The sequence below is a fragment of the Homo sapiens genome, chromosome 9 (genome assembly GCF_000001405.40).
Source record: "Homo sapiens chromosome 9, GRCh38.p14 Primary Assembly".
Taxonomy (NCBI): Eukaryota; Metazoa; Chordata; class Mammalia; order Primates; family Hominidae; genus Homo; species Homo sapiens.
The window spans coordinates 33,209,494-33,227,265 of NC_000009.12; the positions used below are offsets into that span (position 1 = coordinate 33,209,494).

Sequence of the window (17,772 nt, forward strand, 5' to 3'; positions counted from 1 at the left end):
TGGGCGGAGTGTTGCAGAAAGTGTTCATTTCCTAGGGCTGCCATAACAAATTACTGCAAACTTGGTGACTTAAAACAGAAAAAAGATTCTCAAATTTCCAGAGGCCAAAAGTTTAAAATCAAAGCAAGGTCACATTCCTTTCAAAGGCCCCAGGGAAGAATCCTGCTCTTCCAGCTTCCAAGGGCTCCTTGGCTTGTGGCTGCATAACTCCAATCTGTGCCTCCATCCTCATGCAGCCATCTCTTCTTCTCTGATTTCTCTTCTGTCTCTTATAAAGATACTTGTGATTAGATTCAGGGCCCACCCAGATCATACAGCACGATCTTATCTTGAGATCCTGAATTACATCAGCAAAGATCCTTTCTCCAAATAAGGTCATGTTCACAGGTTCTGGGAGTCAAAACGTGGGCATATCTTTTTGGGGGCCCCCATTCAATCCACCATGGCCACTGTATTAGTCTGTTCTCACATTGCTATAAAGAAATACCTAAGACTGGGTAATTTATAAAGAAAAGAGGTTTAATTGACTCACAGTTCTGCAGGCTGTACAGGAAGCATGACGCTAGCATTTGCTTGGCTTCTGAGGAGGCCTCAGGAAACTTACAATTTTGTAGAGATGAGGTGTAACTATATTGCCCAGGCTGGTCTCAAATTCCTGGACTCAAGTGATCCTCTGTTTCCACCTCTGGGTGGAGCTATGAGTCACCTACACCTGTAATTCTCAATGTTATGTGATCTAAAGCCCCTTTCTTATAATAAATATTTTGCGACACCACCTTTAGCCTACATAGGTAATATAACCAAAGTACATCATGGCTTCATAAAATTAGGCCATAATATGTCACAATTAATGTAAAGGTGAATTAAAATAAATGTTTAACACAAGGATGTATATTTCAACATGTAAATGCTTGGACAGACCCCTGCTAGAAGATATAATAAGTAGTCATAAGCTTGTACCTTACACAGAATCTTCGTGACTGTGCAACAGTTACAAGTGCAGACTGATACAGTGTGTTACATAAGCAGGCACGTCACATGGCCAGAGCAGGAGCAAGAGAGAGAGGGGAAAGGTGACACACACTTTTAAACCACCAAATCTCATGAGAACTCACTATTTTTAGAACAATACCAAGAGGATGGTGTTAAAGCATGCATGAGAAATCCATCCCCATGATCCAATCACCTCCCACCAGGCCCCACCTTCAACATTGGGGATTACAATTCGACATGAGATTTGGGTGGGGACACAGATCCAAACCATATCAGCCATCTTGAGAGCAGCAGTGATATATAGCAGCAGTTTGAGGTATATAGCCAAGGAGGTAGCCAGAGAAATAAATGTCCCAATCTTCCTTTCTTCCCTCGGTCCATCTCCTACCAGGGCTCTCATAAACCAGAGGGCGTGAACATGGTTGGTGGGTCAGGCTCCCAGGGCTGGCAGCAGAGTAGAAAGGGAAGGAGCACGTATCTGGAGGGACAAACAAAACTGATAGTAGCCCACCATGTAAATCAAGGGAAGATTGGACTCTTATTTAGAACTCTAGTAAGAGAGTTCTCTTGCAGTAAATCATAGTTGAATGGGAATGGGACTGGTGGTATTTGAGCCAGTCATGTAACAGACCTGTATCAGTTGGCACTTGTAACTGTTGCACATTCACAGGGATTCTGTGTAAGGTACAAGCATATGACTACTATATCTTCTAGGAGGGGTCTGTCCAAGCATTTACATGTTGAAGTATACAACCTTGTGCTATACATTTTTCTTTTCTTTTCTTTTCTTTTTTTTTTTTTTGAGATGGCGTCTTGCTCTGTCACCCAGGCTGGAGTGCAGTGGCATGATCTCGGCTGACTGCAACTTTCGCCTTCCAGGTTCAAACGATTCTCCTGCCTCAGCCTCCCAAGTAGCTGGGATTACAGGCATGCACCACCATGCCCAGCTAATTTTTATATTTTCAGTAGAGACAGGGTTTCACCATGTTGGCCGACTGGTCACGAACTCCTGACCTCAAGTGATCCGCCTGCCTCAGCCTCCCAAAGTGCTGGGATTATAGGCGTGAGCAACCATGCCTGGCCTATATGTTTCTTTTATTTCACCTCACCTTCACTGTGACATTTATGGCCTAATTTTATGAAATCATGATGTAGTTTGGTTATATTATCTACGTATGCTAAAGGTGGTGTTGTAAAGTATTTATTATAAGAAAGGGGCACTGGATCACATAACACTGAGAACTACAGGTGTAGGTGACTCATAGCTCCACCTAGAGCAAGCACTAAGTGTTCACTGCATAGTATCTATTTTTATTAAGGGTGTTATCACCCTTCTTCACTTCCAGGCACAATCAGGTTTAGATCTTGGAGATCAGTCGTGTTGTGAGTCACCAGAGAGGAGCAGGCACAGCTTGGAGCCTGTTCCCCTGGGGAGGGTGGCACTGAGTGATGCAAGCCTGGGTCCCAAGAAACCCTGGCCCTGATGCTGCTGCCCCCTCTCTGGGAGCAGGAAGTCTCCAGGGGAAAGGACTATTTCTCTAGAGCCCTGGAAATCCCAGATTAACCCTCCTACTAGGTAGATCTACAGTGTTCCCTCTGAGCATACCAGCATCTCAAGTTTCCCACTAAAGCAGGGGGCTGGGCCAGGCTTGGCTCCAGAGCTGCGAACAGCCTGGACAGAGCTGACATCAGCAGTTAGGCCAGGTTGGGGAAGGGTAGGGTTAGCCCCCAGCAGCTGGGCTGTCTCACCCATAGGGGAGGAGAGAAGAAGAGGGAGCAGCAGAAGAAGGGAGGAGGAAAAGCAGGAAAAGGAAAGTGAGCCCAGGGAAGTTTGCTCAGGACAGGCTTTTGCTGTAGGGTGGAGGAATTTCTCTAGCGGTAGTGTACCACTACACTTCAGCCTGGGAGCAGGATTCCTCCAGCTGTAAAGTGGAGTAATCCGATGCATGTTATCTCCCCGCTTAACAACTGACGTCCAAAACCCCTGCCTATGTCTTCATCTTTATTTCATCTCAGACCATTTCCCGCCATGCATGGACCTTCCCATAGAATCACTTATAGATCCCTCCAAAGGCCATGCTAATCCATGACTACATGCCTTTGGGTATACAGTTCTCTGTTTGAATTGCCTTTCCATGATTTATCTAGCTGGAAATTTCCTTAAAATATCACCTTCTCCATGAAGTATTCCCCAATTCTGATAAAATTATTCTTGCCTCTGTGTTCAAATCTAGGTGTCTAAGATACATTAGAATGACCATTTATTAATCTAGTAAGTATTCTCAAACTTTAGTGTGCATCAGAATGACCTGGGAGTCTTGTTAAAACACAGATTACTGGGATCCAACCCCAGATTTCTGATTTCAGTTCTGACCTGTAGTGGGGTCAAGAATGTTCACTTCTGGCTGGGCGCAGTGGCTCACACCTGTAAATCCCAGCACTTTGGGAGGCTGAGGCGGGTGGATCACTTGAGGTCAGGAGTTCGAGACCAGTCTGGCCAACATAGTGAAACCCCACCTCTACTAAAAATGCAAAAATTAGCCGGATGTGGTGGCGGGTGCCTGTAAGCCCAGCTACTCAGGAGGCTGAGGCAGGAGAATCGCTTGAACCCAGGAGGCAGAGGTTGCAGTGAGCCGAGATAGCGCCACTGCACTCTAGCCTGGGCAACAGAGTGAGACTCCATCTCAAAAAATAAAAAAGAATGTTCACTTCTAACAAGTTCCCATGTATTGTTGATCCTGCTGGTCCAAGGATCACACTTTGAGAACCACTGATTTACCACAAGAAATTCTCAACCCTCAGTATGGTCAGTGCTTACTTATTAATTTATTCAGTGAATGTCTACTGAGGGCCTGCTATGTGCCAGACATGGACCAGGTGTTGAGTGTTCAATGGTAAGCAAAGCCCACATTGAACTTGCCCACATAGGACTTGCCTCTATGGAGCTTCCAGTCAACTATGGAAGACATATTAAGCAAATAAAAATACCATTAAGTATATAATAACAGGCCAGGAGTGGTGGCTCATGCCTGTAATCCCAGCACTTTGGGAGGTAGAGACAGAGGCTTGCTTGAGCCCAGGAGTTTGAGACCAGCCTGGGCAATATAGTGACACCTCGTCTCTACAAAAAATTTAAAAATTAGCCAAGCATGGTAGCACACACTTGGAGTCCTTGCTACTTAGGAGGCTGAGGTGGGAGGATAGCTTGAGCTCAGGAGGCAGAGGTGTACTGAGACAGCACTTACACTCCAGCCTGGGTGACAGAGTAAGACTCTATCTCAAAAAAGAAGTACATAATACTTTGGGAGGCCGAGGCGGGCGGATCACGAGGTCAGGAGTTCGAAACCAGCCTGACCAACATGGTGAAACCCCGTCTCTACTAGAAATACAAAAAAATTAGCTGGGTGTGGTGGCATGCACTTGTAATCCCAGCTGCTCAGGAGGTTGAGGCAGGAGAATCACTTGAACCCAGGAGGCGGAGGTTACAGTGAGCTGAGATAGCGCCATTGCACTCCAGCATGGGCGACAGAGCAAGACTCTGTCTCAAAAAAAAAAAAAAAGTACATAATAACAAACTGTGATAATTGATCTGAAAGAAAAGAATATTACAAGAAAGAATAATATCAAGAACCTATTTCAGATTATGTGGTCAGGTAAGACCTTTTTGGGAAGGGGACGTTTATACAGGCAGACATCCAGTACTGTAAACAAACTTCTATAAGGTGTGTTTATTGCACTGTATTGTTACCTAGGTTTAAGTTGTCCAGCTAACCACCAGACTGTGTACTTCTTGAAATGTAGAATCTTGTCAATATTTGTGCCCTCAGCATGCTGCACAGAGTAGGGCCTTGGTAGCTAGTGAAAGAATGAATGGAAAGATGGAGGGATCATGGGAAGAATGAGCAAATAAATAAAGGAAACATCAGGTGGCTGTATGAGTGCATACTTGCATGAATGGATGATGGATAGGTAACGGAGGGATGGGTGACTGTCTCCAGCAGCAACACTGACAACCAGGATTCCTGGTGGTACCAGTGAGACAAGAGTAGAAACTGATAGGAACTTAGCTGATTCCTTTACTATATTTCCAAACCATGTCCATCATTTAAGGTGACCACCAATGGCCTCTCCTCCCCAAAAAGCCCCTTGATTACCATTGCTAAGCCCTACTCCACACGTGAATGAATTGCTGTCACCTCCTGTACTCCCACACATGCCACACCACACTTACGTCGACAAACGTAATTGCCTTGCGCTTGCCATCTACTGATCACCTGGGGTACAGGTTTCTCAGGGCAAGCCATGCTCTCTGTGTCAGTCTTAGAAGGGATAAAGGGATAGAGAGAGGAAGAAAAGAAAGTTTCTTTCCTACATCTGAGCCAAAGAAGGTACAGAGCTCAGTGGGCAGTGAGGAGATTCTTGCTCTGATAATTCATCACATGACTTCAAAAAAGCACTTTAAATGACACATTTTTTCTAGATATGTGTCTTAGGCCTCCTAAGAGGAGTTTATTTAGAGACCCAGTTTGAGTCACAATAAAGAGTTAAAAAAAACACCCAGGGTCCCTCTGGGATCTTTTTAAAAATGAACAGAGAAAAGAAAATTATACACAGACCACTCTCTTCCCTTTAAACAATCTCTGCCTGAAAATGAATGCTCACCTGGCTTTGCATTCCTCACCTGCGGATGAACGCTCATCTGCCTTTGCATTCCCCACTGGAGGATGAACGCTCACCTGGCTTTGCATGCTTTAAGACTCCCATACACTTGTTTCCAGTCTCATCAAAGCTCTTAGCTACCCAAGCCCAGTTCTATGTCAAAGGAGCTTGAATTCAGATGAGAATTTCCAAAGGGCTTGAAGATGGGAACAGAGCCCCTCTCTATTCAAAAGAGGGCAAGATAAAGAATCTGGGACATGACAGTCCCCAGAGATTGAAATAAAATACTTCTTAATTGTGAACGGCCTGAATAGACAATTCCTAAAAGAGGGCAAGGAATTAACAAATATGGGCATGAATATCTAACCCTAAAAGTAATGAAAGAAATGCAAATAAAGAAAGATTGTATATGTCTCCATGTATATATGTATACACACATACACACATTTTACACTGTAAGACTCTATGTGTGTCAGGATGTCCTGAAATGGTTTCTCATGTGACTGTAATTGGTAATAGGCTTCTGAAATCCTTGGGCAGTAGGTCTCAAGTGTCTCTGAAATGTTCTTACTTTTCCCCAAAAAATATAGGAGGAAAGGATATGATATCAATTTATCCCTAATTCTGATCATCCATCCTAAGGGAACATTTGAAATACAAAAAACAAAATAGCAAAAAGAATACTAATCATGAACACTAATCACAAAGATGTTCATCTCTGTGTTGTATGTAATAGCCAAAGGCTGGAAATAGCCTTAAAGTCCAGCAATCAGAAAATGGCTATTGGTTAGACATTTATAGAATACTCTTTTTTTTTTTTTTGAGACAGAGTCTCACTCTGTCACCAAGGCTGAAGTGCAATGGCACAATCACGGATCATTGCAGCCTTGACCTCCCAAACTCAAGGGACCCTTCTGCCTCAGCCTTCCCAGTAGCTGGGACTAAGGGTATATACCATCACAGATAATTTTTTATTTTTTGTAGAGATAAGATTTTCCTCTGTGGCCCAGGCTGGTCTTGAACTCCTGGGCTCAAGCAATTCTCCCACCTCAGCCTCCCAAAGTGCTGAGATTATAGGCATGAGCCACCATGCCTGGCCTTAGAATATTCTTTATCAATGCCCACTTATGGGTTCTGCAGGGTTCTTCCCTGGGGAATGTGCTAGCAGGCTGTTGTATAGGGTGCAGTCTCCAGATCCTTCAGGAAAGTGCCTTGGTTGAGTCTCTCAAGTCCAAAACCTGGTTCTCAGCTTCTCTGGGTCAGAAACTGGATTTTCTTAGTGTAGTAGAGAAGAGTGGTCCCTTGGGGACAGACTTACTCTCACTAATACCATCCAAGGCTGCTGTAGCCATCAAATACCAATTTATTAGAGCACAGTGGATGACATCCTTTTGCAAACAGCATAGTATGTATATCCACTGCCCAATATCTATTCTCCAGCTGGTACTAGGGTAGACAGGAAGAAAAATCAGAAGGTTTCTTGGTGAGCAGCGTGTTTGAATAAAAGGAAATGGACAGGCTTGAGGAGTACTTTTTCAAATCATGATGAGACCTGGGGAAATGTCCCTGATTGATAGGAGAGACAAGTTCTCTGTGACTAAATTGCTTGTTTCTCCTGACAAAGTGTCTCTCTCCTCTGGAGTGTGTAGGCGGCTAGCTGACCAGTTTACTTTCCTGCACCTGCTTTTCCATGTTCACTGCTTCTCTTTTTATTAATCAATTCCATTCCTAGCAAAGGTAACTGAGCAATTGAGAGGGGGCACTGGCAGGTCCAGCTGGCCCAGTCATAGTCCCTTCTCTGGGGATATGGACTTGGGATTGTGCTACTTATCAATCTATTGCCTCTCAGTGCCAAACTCAAACTTCATTCCCTGCTCTGCAAAAATGTAGCTGGACAGTCTTAATATTTTTCCTTTGTCAGCTGACAAAGGTTAAACTTTGTTAGTAAAGGGCACTAGAGAGACATTATAGGAGAAAGAAATTTTTCTTTTTTCGTTATTCTGGTGTGCTCTGCTTAGCGGATCCCCTGCATGTTTCAGCATGCAACACCTGGGTTCTATAGATAAACCTCTCCAGTATCCAGCGTCTGCAGTGCAAGCAACTTCTTTAGCATCAGGTTCCCGCAAAGACAGATGGCTTCTCCAGGGTCTGGCTCCTACCATGCATGGTGGCCAGCATCAACCAAAGGCCAGCAGCAGCTTCCCCTGGCACTCCCTACTACAGGTAGTTTTATAGGAGTGACTCTGACAGACACCTCCCAAGAATCCCAGAGGGTAGATTTCCAGCAAGTTCCATCAACACAGCGCCACATGGACTTCTTTACAATCCAGTGAACCACAGCCATACCTGCTCCAACAATGTCTGGATCTCAGCCCTTGGGGTGGGGATTGGGGATTGGTTTCTGTCTTGGATGGGATATCTCAGCCCTAGAGGTAGTAACTGCTCCTTCTAGTTGTTATTCCCATACTCTTTAAAATTCTCTTTACTTCCTACTGGCCAATCCTTCACTACTCCAATCCCCGTTACAGATAGTTAATAATTCTTTTTTGAGACAGTCTCGCTCTGTCACCCCACTAGAGTGCAGAGCGATCTTGGCTCACTGCAACCTCCGCCCTCCCGGGTTCAAGTAATTCTCATGTTTCAGCCTCCCGAATAGCTGGGACTACAGGCGTGTGCCACCACGCCTGGCTAATTTTTTGTATTTTTAGTAGAGATGGGGTTTCACCATGTTGCCCAGGCTGGTCTCGAAATCGTGAGCTCGGGCAATCAGACCGCCTCGGCCTCCCAAAGTGCTAGGTTTACAGGTGTGAGCCACCATGCTGGGCCTTCTAGTGTGTTTCTATAATTCACAACCAAAGGATCCTTATCTAATACAATCTGACTCTGGGAGATACTGCGCCTCCTCTCACTGTGTATTCATTTCATTGGAACCTTTAGAGTTTGAAAGACGTCCCCTTTTGAGACAATATTATTTATAAAACTGAAAATGAGAAATAACTTAAAAGCTCAATCATAGATATGCAATGAGAATAGTACTGCATTTTGAAATGTACTAATGTTCTTGTTTCTTTTGTCTTTTCCCCTTCAGCACAAATCTCATGGGCTGGTTATTTTCCACCTGCTTCTTCAGATCCATGGTCCACCATTTTCCACTCTGCTTTGTGCACTGGGAGGCCACCTTTCTGCGGAATATACTTACCTCTCTGCCTTCCATTTCAGTTCTGCAAATGGGAGGTACTGGAAAGAACGTGAGGGCAGGAGGAGAGATATGCCAGGGTATTTATTGCCCTAGCTCCCCCTCTGCCAGACCACAGGTAAGAAACGACTGCATTTCTCCACCTAAATTCCTTTCGAGCTGTCCCTCACCCATCGCTGCAGTCTGTATTGTTGCTCCTTTGGGCCTCAGGGTAGCGATGCTCTCCCACATTTCTAGTCCCTGAGTGTTTTGTCATTTCTTATTCACTACCTTAGCCTTGCTGGCACTTTCATAAACAATGTCTTCATTAAACCCTTCAATGACCACACTGAGTAACCCATCTGTTTTCTGCCGAGACCCTGGCTAATATAGCATCCATGGGGAAAAAGGGAGGGCAGGGATTAGAATTTACTACAGAAAAAATACGAAGAGAAATACTGAGGCTTCTGACATACAAAATTGGATTACATAGAAAAACAAAAGCCTTTGCCAGGCGTGGTGGCTCAAGCCTGTAATCCCAGCACTTTGGGAGGCTGAGGCGGGCAGATCACAAGGTCAGGAGTTCGAGACCAGCCTGACCAACATGGTGAAACCCCGTCTCTACTAAAAATACAAAAACTTAGCAGGGTGTGGTGGCAGGCACTGTAGTCCCAGCTCCTCAGGAAGCTGAAGCAGGAGAATCGCTTAAACCCTGGAGGCAGAGGTTGCAGTAAGCCGAGATCGTGCCACTGCACTCCAGCCTGGGCGATAGAGTGAGACTCCATCTAAAAAAATACAAATAAAAATAAAAAAGAAAAACAAAAGCCTTAAATACAGGCTATTTAGGTTATTGCTTCAGATTTTTCTTTAGTTAGGCCCGTTGTCATTTTTCCCTATTAACCAGTGGGTGGGACATTGTGAAGAAGACTACATCAGTTAGGGAGAAAGAATATAGAAATCACAGTTTCTCTGCACATTCTTAGTCGAAGTGTGATATAAATCTGTCACCACTCTCAGGGATGTGACTAACTAATTTAGAGGATTATAGGATGGAATATTTAATTATGATTACAGCAAACGTTAATGAGTAAAAGCTTATAACGTACTGCTAAGTGAAAAAGTAGGGCATGAAACGTATGGTCATTATGATCTGTCAACTATGTTAAATATGTACACAAATATGCGTAGGAAAAAAACTTGTAAGAAATTCACCAAAATGTATAAAGAGATGCCTTTAGATGGTGGAATTAGGGGCAGGATTTTTTTCCTTATATTTTTCTGTATTTTCTAATTTTTCTGTAATGAACATGAATTACTTTCGTAATTATAATTTTTCTTTTCTTCCATTTTTTTTAATGAGAGAGGGTCTTGTTCTGTTGCCCAGGCTGGAGTGCAGTGGTGTGATAACAGCTCACTGCAGCCTCGACCTCCCAGACTCAAACAATCCTCCCAACTTAGCCTCCCAAGTAGTTGGGACCACAGGTGCATGCCAATACATGTGGCTAATTTTTTAAAATATATTTTGTAGAGATGGGTCTCCCTATATTGCCCAGGCTGGTGGCAAACTCTTGGGCTCAAGCGATCCGCACACTTCAGCCTCCCAAAGTGATTACAAGTGTGAGCCACTATGCCCAGCCTCTTTTTCCTTTCCGGTTTTTTTTTTTTTTTTGGCAGGTCAATTGTTACACACTCCTTAGCAGATTCAGACTTTCAGACTTACATGGAACACCAACCTGCTTATTTTGTTTTTTATTTTTGCTTTATTTTTTTTTCTTTTTGAGGCAGGGTCTCACTCTGTCACCCTGGCTGGAGTGCAGTGGTGAGATCTCGGCTCACTGCCACCTCCACCTCCCGGGTTCAAGCAATTCTCCTGCCTCAGTCTCCTGAGTAGCTGGCATTACAGGTGCACACCACCACGCCCAGCTAATTTTTGTATTTTTAGTAGAGACGGGGTTTCACCACATTGGTCAGGCTTGTCTCAAACTCCTGGCCTCAAGTGATCCATCCACCTCAGCCTCCAAAAGTGCTGGGATTACAGGCCTGAGCCACCACACCTAGCCTTATGTTGTTTTTTAAGAAAACACACACATTATGTTATGCTCACGTTATCAGAAACAAATGAGACTGACCCTGGCAAGTCCCAACCAAGGAATCTGTCTCCAGATATGCCTTGGCCTGGTTGACTCTTGGAGTTAACCCTTCAGAAAGCAGGAGGCAGAGACCCTTCTGATGAGGGCTGCCTCTAGGAGTGGGACTGCTTCAGTGGATCCAGCTGAATTGTCCTGAGCAACTGTTGTAGAGATATGGGGAGTACTTAGTCTTCCAGCTGAGGCCAGGTTGGGCCACTGTGCAGTGGGCTGCTGGAAGACAAGTTGAGTCCAAACTAGCCCAGTTCTTGAGGAGCAACCACGTGACTCTATCACCGTGATATGCACAGGTTGTGACTGGTGTCCTCAGACTGGAAAACACAGTAGTGCCAGCTCAATCAGGATAGGAGAGAGACGTATACGTTGACATTTGTCTTCCTATCCGGATGAGTGTGGTCCTGCCTTTGGGCCTTTCCTTGGGCCCTCCCCTCTATGTGAAATGCCATCTCTACTAGCGAGATTCCTGTCTGATTTATTTGTTTAGGTAGAATAGCAAGAAGTCTACATCCTGATGATCCTGGGCATTGGGAGCTCACCTCACCTTCTCTGGACTCTGGAGGGCACACACATATGGTCCCTGCTGGGGGATGCTTCGCACACAGACCGTCTTCCAGAGGCAGGGGCAGGGAAACTGCTGTCAGGTGGGTGTTGGGATCTCTTTATATTTAGTTTTGTTGTGCTGTGGTTATTGATGTTGCGGTTTTCAGTTTCCTTCCCTCGTAGTTACTCCCCACCTGGGCTAGCCACTCTCTACCCATCACAGGCCCAAGTCTGTGAGAAGGGGCTTCTCTTAGGTCCTCACCAAGGCCCCTTCCCAAGGTCCCTTCCCAAGGCCCAACCTGCCCACAGTCTCACCGAGGCCAGCAGGGCCCAGGTCTGGGCCCAGGTCCAGTCCCAGGCAAGGGTATTGTGTGTGCTTCCTGATAGGTCAGGCCGCCCTGAACCCTCCAGGCACACTGGCCCTAAATGTGTCTGCTTCCTGAAGGGTCAGGCTGCCCTGAACCCTCCCTGCGCTTCCTCTTGTGACCAGTGTTGAAGATCAAGAGGAAGAGGAAGAGGCCAAAAATTCTTCACACAGAGCCCTGGGCTCCGAGCCCCTGTGGCCTGTCACTTACCTGGTCCACAGCAGAGGTGGTGTCTCTAGATGAGGGTAATGGGAAGCATCCTTCCCTCATGCCCTGCTCCCTTCCTCCGAGCCATACCCATTACACTGAGCCAGTCACGGCAGACATCTAGGCAGAAGGGACCACAGGGGTGGCCTCGTTGCCTGTCCTTGCTCCCTCCACACTGCATATCTGCAGTCTAACCTGCTGAATCACAGTCCTTGTTAGGTGAGGGCCAGGACAGGAGAGAAGACACTTCACTTGTTGCCACTACCAGTCTTTCTATACCCTATCTTTGTATTCTGTCTGCCTGGCCTAGTATGGAGCCCACTAGGTCAGCCTTTGACCAATACCCCACACAGAAGTATATTTTGGTTCTGTTTACATTCTTGTCAGAAAGCCCGCTATTTTAAGTCAGCGCCTCTCAAACGTGAATGCGCATAAGGATCACCCAGGGATCTTGCCACAGCCTAAGTCCTGATTTGGGAGTTCTAGGTCAGGACATTCTGCATTTCTAACAAGCTCCTGATACTGCAAAGATGGAAGGGACCCAGGCTTATTTCTAGGCTCAGATGAGGTCTTGCTTGTTCTGTGAAGATTATCAGAGTGCTGATGTCAGAATTAATCACTTCATCCATCATTTCCTGAACACCTGGCTCAGCCGTTGTCCCAGGTGCCAGCACAGTCTGCCCACATCTGCTCCCTGACTAGTCTGGGGGCTACTGGGACACGTAGTCTTTGTAGCCGTACTCCCTAGCATGGAGGATGCTCAGCAGTTTGTTTGAGCAAATTAATGAACAAATTAATGGCATTTGAAGGTGATTTGCAAAAGGTATAGGTTATTAATATGTACATATATATTTTGAGATGGAGTGTCACTGTGTCACCCAGGCTGTAGTACAGTGGCACAATCTCAGCTCACTGCAACCTCCGCCTCCCAGGTTCAAGCAATTCTTCTGCCTCAGCCTCCTGAGTAGCTGGGACTACAGGCACGCACCACCATGCCTGGCTAATTTTTTTGTATTTTTAGTAGAGACGGGATTTCCCCATGTTGGCCAGGCTGGAAGGTTGTTAATATTTAAGACATTTCCTAAACCGTGTTCCCTGGGACACCAATTCTGACACCAATTCAGAGGGATGTTAACAGATATTTGTTAAATGTGGTGGGGGAAGTGGGAAGCTTTTGTAATCACTTAATCCAAGAAATGCTGGATGAAAAATAGACTCCTGAAAAGCTTCTCACAGCCTTTAATAAACTAGTGGTCAGTGCCAGTGTCCCAGAGAGAGATCCAGTGAGCAGCATTTCGCTCACTTCGTTGACCATAGAGAATACCTCTTGAGAAGCACCTTGCGGGGCTAGGATGCCGAGGAACAGAGGTGAGGGGCACAGTGAGCACTCTAGTGTTCACTCGAGTCTTGGAGATAATTAAGTTACAAAGGTCTAGAGAATTAATAGACACTTGATGAGGGGAGAGGGATGTCAGAACTGAAAAGCAGAGGAGGATGTTTCTTTCACAGACTGAGTCGTCCCACTTTGGAGTTTTGTTTTGTTTTGTTTTGGGGGTTTTTTGTTTGTTTGTTTTTGAGATTTTGTTTTGTTTGGGGGGTGGTGGTTGTTCGTTTGTTTGTTTTTAAGATGGAGTCTCGCTCTGTCACCCAGGCTGGAGTGCAATGACACGATCTCGGCTCACTGCAACCTCCGCCTCCCGGGTTCAAGCAATTCTCCTGCCTCAGCCTCCCAAGTAGCCCGCCACCACGCCCGGCTAATTTGTGTTTTTAGTAGAGACGGGGTTTCACCGTGTTGGCCAGGCTGGTCTCAAACTCTCAACCTCTGGTGATCTGCCTGCCTCGGCTTCCCAAAGTGCTGGGATTACAGGTATGAGCCACCACGCCCCACTTCTTTGGAGTTCTTATCACACTGCTGTGGGGCTCTCTCTGCTCTTCTGGGTTCCTCTGGGAGGGGAGCACAGGAGAAATTCTGACTCTGTCTTCCTCCTCTGACCTCTGCAGTGGCTGAGAGGGGGAGGTTAGGAAACCTAGAGAGAAGCGAACATGGAAGCCTGTTGATGCTCAGTCTGCTAAAAGACAAAGGACTCCAGAAAGTATCTGGAGATAAAGTGTCTCCAGGAGGAGCTTTATTCCAGCTAGAAAGCAGGGGAGGATGTTTTTTTAAAGGGCCATGTAATACAAGTCTATAGCCGAGATTGGGATTGAAATGAACTGATTAAAAGAAAGGAAACATCTAGAAAAAGACCCCAGTGAATCCCAGACTTCATTTATCTTAAAACAGTCATTCTCAGCTGGAGTGAATTTTGGTCTCCCATTGGACATTTGACAAGGTCTGGGGACATTTTTGGTTGTCACAACTGAAAAGAGGTGCTACTGGCATCTAGTGGGTAGTAGCCAGAGATGCTGCCAAACCTCCTACAAGGCACAGGGCAGCCCCTTACAACAAAGAATTATTAGGTCCCAAATGTCAGTAGTGTCACCATTGAGAAACTTTGCCTTAAAAGTTGTTTTTAAATATCAGCTTTAATTTACAATTTACAATGGTGCACAAATTCAGTTGCTATACCACAAAAAAATTGAGAGAAATTTATTCAGTATAAAAAAATCCAGATTAACAATTTGGTCACCTCCTTTGAGAATGAAAAAAAAAAAAAAAAGGACATCCAAATCTTAGTCAGCAATACTATTTTGTAAATTTAAAACACATCTCAAACAACACTTGCTATTTTGCAAAGAGAGAAGTAAAAGGATTCACAGCAAATATTCCCTTTAATTTAAAAGTTTAGGACATTGCTTAAATATACTTAATAACTTTTAGCATGAAGATTTTGAAGGAAATTTTTTATGATGCATCTTTTTATTTGTAAAAATTGTAAAAATTTATGGGGTACATGTGAAATCTCGTTACATATATATATAATGCATAGTGATCAAGTCAAGGTATTTAGGCTGTCCATCACCCAAGTACAGTACATTTTTGTTTAACTATAGTCACCCTACTCTGCTATCAAGCAATGAATGTATTCCTTCTATCTAACTGTTTGTACACTTTAACCCACTTCTCTTCATCCTTCCCCATCTCTTCCATTCATTCTTCTCAGTCTCTGTTCTCCGTATTTCCTCTCTTTACCTCAATGTAATCACATTTTTTTTGGCTCCCACATATGTGAGAACATGCTACGTTTGTCTTTTTGGGACTGGCTTATTTCACCCAAGATAATGACCAATTCTGGAGGAAATGTATTAAGTAGAAGGGGATAAAATGCTACAAATAAATAAATATTATGAGTAGGGATGGGGAGGATCCCACTACTGGCTATATAATTAAAGAGATTCTCACACAACTCCATAAAGAGACATGTAAGAGGATTTTTTTTTTTTTTTGAGACAAAGTTTCGCTCTTGTTGCCCAGGCTGAAGTGCAATGGTGCGATCTCGGCTCACCGCAACCTCCACCTCGTGGGTTCAAGCGATTCTCCTGCCTCAACCTCCCAAGTAGCTGAGATTATAGGTATGCACCACCATGCCCGGCTAATTTTGTGTTTTTAGTAGAGACAGGGTTTCTCCATGTTGGTCAGGCTGGTCTCGAACTCCCGACCTCAGGTGATTCACCCGCCTCGGCCTTCCAAAGTCTGGGGGGGGTGGATTATAGGCGTGAACTACTGTGCCTGGCCATAAGAGGATATTTTATCACCAAGTTATTTGTGATGGCTGGAGAGCTGGATGCAATGAGGCATTCATCATTGGGGAAATGAATGTAAGTAAAATGTGACATAAGCACACTACAGAATATTCTACCACAGTAACAAGCAATGAATTAGATACACACAAAAGGTCAAGAAATCTTTAAAACATGGTTCTGTCCAGTTGCAGTGGCTCAAGCCTGTAATCCCAACACTTTGGGAGGCTGAGACAGAAGGGTTGCTTGAGCCCAGGAGTATGAAACCAGCCTGAGCAAGATGGTGAGACCCTGTCTCTACAAAAAACAAATAAACAAGAGCAAAAAACGCCAAAACTCCACAATGCTGAATGGGGGAAAAAAGAAGAAAGGAACAGAAGGAGGCCTCCAGCACAATATTATTTTTTGAAATGAAAAATACCCACAAAACAATGCCACATGCTTTTGAGAACACTTGCAAATAGAATGATTTATGAGTCTTAGTCACTGCATAAACTTTACAGTTGAACTCTTGGAAATTACGCATCAGTGCCACCTGGTGGTAGCACTTCAAATTTGTGGCATAATTCAGTTTTGTTTTTAACAAGATAACATTTACATACAATGAAATGCACAGATCTTCATTTGATGATTTTTCGACAACTGTATACCCCAGTGTAATCCCTACTCTAAATAATATATACGGTATTTCCACTGCCCCAGAAGGTTCCCTCCTACTCTCCCCATGCCCTACCCTGAAAGCAACAACTGATCCGCCTCTGTCACCACAATTAGCTTCCCCTGTTGTAGAACTTACATATGTGGAATTATACAGAATTATACAGTGCATACTCTTTTGTGTTTGCCTTCTTTCAGGAATCATAATGTTTTAGCGATTCAGTCATGTTGTAGCACGTATCAATAGTTAATTCACTTTTATTGCCAGGTGGTATTCTATTGCATAGCTGTATTCCAGTTGGTCTATCTGTGCACCAACTGACTGACATTTGGATCATTTCCACTTATTGCCTAATACAAATAAAGCTTCTATGAATATTTACGAATAAGGCTTTGTGTAGACATATGCTTTTTATTTACTGTGGATGGAATTGCAAGGTCATAGCATGGATAGATGTGTAATTTTTTTAATTGCGAAAAACAATTCTCCAAATAAGTTGTATCATTTTACACATCCACCAACAATGTATTTGTATCAGCAATAAAAAGATGAACAACCCAGCTTATCTAAATAGGCAAAAAGTCGTGAATCAACATTCGGAGATATATAAGTAGCTATATAGTACAGGAAAAAGTGCCCACCATTATTAGTTTTCAGGAAAATGCAAGCTAAAACCACAATGAGATATCACTTTACACTCACTAGAATGTTAAAATGTTGAGAATGTGGAGAAATTGGAGGCAATTGGAAATCACACACACACACACACACACACACACACACACACACACCCCAGCTCTCTCAGGTCACCAGCTCAATTCCTTCACAAAAGAAGGATTCAGCTTGTGACTTGCACATTTCTGCATAGGCTACTGTTGGTCAAGCCTGGAAAGTTAAAAAGGCGGAAAGACAAATCTGCTGCTGTGCATTGGTGGCGTGGAGCCACAGGAGTGCCAGAGGCGTATACTGGGGCAGGCTCTTATACCTGTTTTTTACTGCAGTTCTTCATTCAGTAGGGAAAGCTTTCATAGGGGTCTATTAGTAGAGGTTGGCCCTGACCCTTCTAAGGAGAATAAGAGTGTCCTGAAGTCAAAATGAATGAAAGCCAGGTGAAGAGATGGGCAGGTTTCCATGGGCCCCGCATTGCCTGGAGCTGCCCAGAACATGGGGCTGGCTGTAGCTTCACCACCCAACTTCTCTCTTCCCTCTTCCTCTTTCTGTTTCTCCTCACCTCTCTCTTCCTCCTTTTCATAACGGCATCATGTATTAAGTTTTGTTATGAGCCAGGCGTTTAATTTTTTTTTTTTTGGAGACAGAGTCTTACTCTGTCACCGAGGCTAGAGCGCGGTG

The 17,772-nt window shown here is 44.4% G+C and overlaps 1 annotated feature.

Moving 5' to 3' along the window:
• Positions 17,603–17,772: an enhancer, noted in NCBI's record as "active region_28287". NCBI's record gives its function as "activates an Ori minimal core promoter by ATAC-STARR-seq in GM12878 lymphoblastoid cells {active_cell/tissue: GM12878}" and the evidence as "EXISTENCE:reporter gene assay evidence [ECO:0000049][PMID:35858748]".